The sequence below is a fragment of the Homo sapiens genome, chromosome 4 (assembly GCF_000001405.40).
Source record: "Homo sapiens chromosome 4, GRCh38.p14 Primary Assembly".
Classification (NCBI taxonomy): Eukaryota; Metazoa; Chordata; class Mammalia; order Primates; family Hominidae; genus Homo; species Homo sapiens.
In genome coordinates this window covers 164674986-164679476 of record NC_000004.12, presented here as the reverse complement: position 1 = coordinate 164679476, position 4491 = coordinate 164674986, and the positions used below count along the sequence as shown (strand labels likewise).

Sequence of the window (4491 nt, the reverse complement as noted above, 5' to 3'; positions counted from 1 at the left end):
GCCCCCCAAAAGATACATCCACATCCTAATCCCTAGAATCTGTGAATGTGACCTCATTTGGAGAAAGGGTCTTTGCAGATGTAATTAACTTTGGGATCTTGAGAAGCCAAAAGCCTGGATTATCTCGGCAGGCCCTAAATCCAATGACGAGTGTTCTTATAAAAGGACGGAAGAGGAGAAGACACAGAAACAGAAGAGAAGGTGATGTGCAGATGGAGGCAGAGACTGAAGTTTTGCAGACACAAGCCAGGGAATACCTGGAGTCACCAGAAACTAGAAAAGGCAAAGAATGGATTTTCTGCTGAGCTCCAGAGAGAGTGCAGCCTGACAAATTCTTGATTTTGGACTTTTGGCTTCCAGAACTGTGAGAGAGGAAATTTCTGTTGCTTTAAGCCACTCATTTTGTGGTAATTGGTTATGGAAGTGACAGGACACCAATACAGGAGAGGGCATCCAAATTGAGATGGGAGGTTGGCGGCAGAGATATAGATCTGGAGCTCAGAAGAGAAATCAGATATATATTTTAAAGTATCAGCGTTTAGGTAGTATGTAAACCATGATAATGGAAGAAAGAACATAAAGAATAAAGAGGAAGATCCTCTGTCTGGAACGCTCTTCTCCTTGGTCTCCATGTCTCCTAGGTCTCCACTCCTCATAACTTCCAGGGCTTTGCTCAATTATTTCTCAATGGACCTTCCTGGAACACCCCATTTAAAACTGTGCTCTCTCATACCATTCCTTTTCTCCTACTGCTACTTAATTTTTAAACACAGTACTATTATCTGCTAGTCCATATGATTGTTGGCTTTTTTTTTGAGACGGAGTCTCACTCTGTCACCCACGCTGGAATTCAGTGGCACAATCTTGGCTCACCGCAACCTCTGCCTCCCAGGTTCAAGAGATTCCCCTGCCTCAGCTTCTGAGTAGCTGGGATTACAGGGATGCACCACCACACCCGGCTAATTTTTTACATTTTTGGTAGAGAGGGGATTGCACCATGTTGGCCAGGCTGGTCTCAAACTCCTGACCTCAAGTGATCTGCCCGCCTTGGCCTCCCAAAGTGCTGGGATTACAGGTGTGAGGCACCTTGCCTGGCCTGTTTGCTTATTTTATTCAAGCCATATGTCTTCCCCTTTTAAGATATAAACTCTATGAGGATAGGGTTTTGTCTGTTTGGGTCACTGGTGTCTGGTATATCATAGTTGGCTCAGTAAATATTTATTGAACGAATGAATTATTGAGTGAGAATGACATGGACAAAGGGACACTTTTATGAAAAAAGCTAGAAGAGACTAGAACCAGCCTGAATGCTAATGAGGAGGATACAGTAAGATTCAATAGAGGTCAAAGATAGAGGGTGGAAAGAAAAAGTGCAATGACCTGAGCTCTGTAAGGAGGCAGGTGGGGATGGGATCTGAGCACAGAGGAAGGGGATGATCCTGGTAAAGTGGTGACTTGCCCTTCGTTGAAACTAATGAAAGAAGAAAATATGCTCATTAGTTGATGCAGTTTCTTCCTAGCATTGATGGTCTTTACAATTTGGCATGTTTTTGCAGTGGCTGGTACTGGTTGTACCTTTCCATGTTTAGTGCTTCCTTCAGGAGCTCTTGTAAGGCAGGCCTGGTTGTGACAAAATCTCTCAGCATTTGCTTGCCTGTAAAGGATTTTATTTCTCCTTCACTTATGAAGCTTAGTTTGGCTGGATATGAAATTCTGTGTTGAAAATTCTTTTCTTTAAGAATGTTGAATATGAGCCCCCGCTCTCTTCTGGCTTGTAGAGTTTCTGCCGAGAGATCTGCTGTTAGTCTGATGGGCTTCCCTTTGTGGGTAACCCAACCTTTCTCTCTGGCTGCCCTTAGCATTTTTTCCTTCATTTCAACTTTGGTGAATCTGACAATTATGTGTCTTAGAGTTGCTCTTCTTGAGGAGTATCTTTGTGGCGTTCTCTGTATTTCCTGAATTTGACTGTTGACCTGCCTTGGTAGGTTGGGGAAGTTCTCCTGTATAATATCCTGCAGAGTGTTTTCCAACTTGGCTCCATTCTCCCAGTCACTTTCTGGTACACCAATCAGATGTAGATTTGGTCTTTTCACATAGTCCCGTATTTCTTGGAGGCTTTGTTCATTTCTTTTTACTCTTTTTTCTCTAAACTTCTTTTGTCGCTTCCTTTCATTCATTTGATCTTCAATCACTGATACTCTTTCTTCCACTTGATCAAATCAGCTACTGAAGCTTGTGCATGCGTCATGTATTTCTCGTGCCATGGTTTTCAGCTTCCATCAGGTCATTTAAGGACTTCTCTACACTGTTTATTCTAGTTAGCCAGTCATCTAATCTTTTCCCAAGGTTTTTAGCTTCTTTGCGATGGGTTCGAACATCCTCCTTTAGCTTGGAGAAGTTTGTTATTACTGATCATCTGAAGCCTTCTTCTCTCAACTCGTCAAAGTCATTCTCCGTCCAGCTTTGTTCCATTGCTGGCGAGTAGCAGCATTCCTTTGGAGGAGAAGAGGCGCTCTGATTTTTAGAATTTTCAGCTTTTCTGCTCTGGTTTCTCCCCATCTTTGTGGTTTTATCCACCTTTGGTCTTTGATGATGGTGATGTACCGATGGGGTTTTGGTGTGGATGTCCTTTCTGTTTGTTAGTTTTCCTTCTAACAGTCAGGACCCTCAGCTGCAGGTCTGTTGGAGTTTGCTGGAGGTCCACTCCAGACCCTGTTTGCCTGGGTATCACCAGCAGAGGATGCAGAACAGCAAATATTGCAGAACGGCAGATGTTGCTGTCTGATCCTTCCTCTGGAAGCTTTGTCTCAGAGGGGCACCTGACTATATGAGGTGTCAGTCTGCCCCTACTGGGAGGTGTCTCCCAGTTAGGCTACTCAGGGGTCAGGGACCCACTTGAGGAGGCAGTCTGTGGGTTCTCAGATCTGAAACTCCATGCTGGGAGAAACACTGTTCTCTTCAAAGCTGTCAGACAGGGACGTTTAAGTCTGCAGAAGTTTCTGCTGCCTTTTGTTCAGCTATGCCCTGCCCCCAGAGGTGGAGTCTACAGAGGCAGGCAGGCCTCCTTGAGTTGTGGTGGGCTCCACCCATTTCGAGCTTCCTGGCTGCTTTGTGTATCTACTCAAGCCTCAGCAATGGCAGATGCCCCTCCCCCAGCTTCACTGCCGCCTTGCAGTTCCATCTCAGACTGCTGTGCTAGCAGTGAGCAAGGCTCCATGGGTGTGGGACCCTCCGAGCCAGGTCGTGGGATATAATCTCCTGGTGTGCCGTTTGCTAAGGCCGTTGGAAAAGCGCAGTACTAGGGTGGGAGTTTCCCGATTTTCCAGGTACCGTCTGTCACAGCTTCCCTTTGCTAGAAAGGGAATTCCCCGACCCCTTGTGCTTCCCAGGTAAGGCGATGCCCCGCCCTGCTCCGTGGGCTGCACCCACTGTCTGACAAGCCCCAGTGAGATGAACCTGGTAGGTTGGTTGGAAATGCAGAAATCATCCATCTTCTGCGTCGCTCATGCTGGGAGCTGTAGACTGGAGCTGTTCCTATCTAGCCATCTTGGAACCTCCCCCACTAATTTTTCTATTTTTTGTAAAGACAGACTTTGACCATGTTGATCAGGCCTGTCTCGAACTCCTGGCCTCAAGTGATCTGCCCACCTTGGCCTCCCAAAGTGCTGTGATTACAAGCATGAGCCACCACACCCAACCTCATGAAACTTCTGTCAGCACTAACATTCTTCCTTGAGTGAGTTTCTTAATCTTGGGTTCTAATTTGATTGCACTGTGGTCTGAGACACTGTTTGTTATGATTTCCATTCTTCTGCATTTGCTGAGGAGTGTTTTACTTCCAATTATGTGGTCAATTTTAGAATAAGTGTGGTGTGGTGCTGAGGAGAACATATATTCTGTTGATTTATGGTGGAGAGTTCTGTAGATATCTATTAGGTCCACTTGGTCCAGAGCTGAGTTCAAGTCCTGAATATCTTTGTTAATTTTCTGTCTCATTGATCTGTATAATATTGACAGTGGGGTGTTAAAGTCTCCCACTATTATTGTGTGGGAGTCCAAGTCTCTTTGTAGGTCTCTAAGAACTTGCTTTATGAATCTGGGTGCTCCTGTATTGGGTGCATATATATTTAGGATAGTTAGCTCTTCTTGTTGCATTGATCCCTTTACCATTATGTAATGCCCTTCTTCGTCTTTTTTTGATCTTTGTTGGTTTAAAGTCTCTTTTATCAGAGACTAGGATTGCAACCCCTGCTTTTTTTTTTTTTTTTTTTTGCTTTACAATTGCTTGGCAAATCTTCCTCCATCCCTTTATTTTGAGCTTTTGTGTGTCTTCCTCCATGAGATGGGTCTCCTCTGAATACAGCACACTGATGGGTCTTGACTCATTATCCAATTTGCCAGTCTGTGACTTTTAATTGGGGCATTTAGCCCATTTACATTTAAGGTTAATATTGTTATGTATGAATTTGATTCTGTCATTATAATGCTAAC

At 44.5% G+C, this 4491-nt stretch overlaps 1 annotated feature.

Moving 5' to 3' along the window:
• Positions 2700-3200: an enhancer, noted in NCBI's record as "H3K4me1 hESC enhancer chr4:165597429-165597929 (GRCh37/hg19 assembly coordinates)". NCBI's record gives its function as "activates a minimal SCP1, AML or CMV promoter by ChIP-STARR-seq in primed H9 embryonic stem cells {active_cell/tissue: H9 hESC(primed)}" and the evidence as "EXISTENCE:reporter gene assay evidence [ECO:0000049][PMID:30033119]".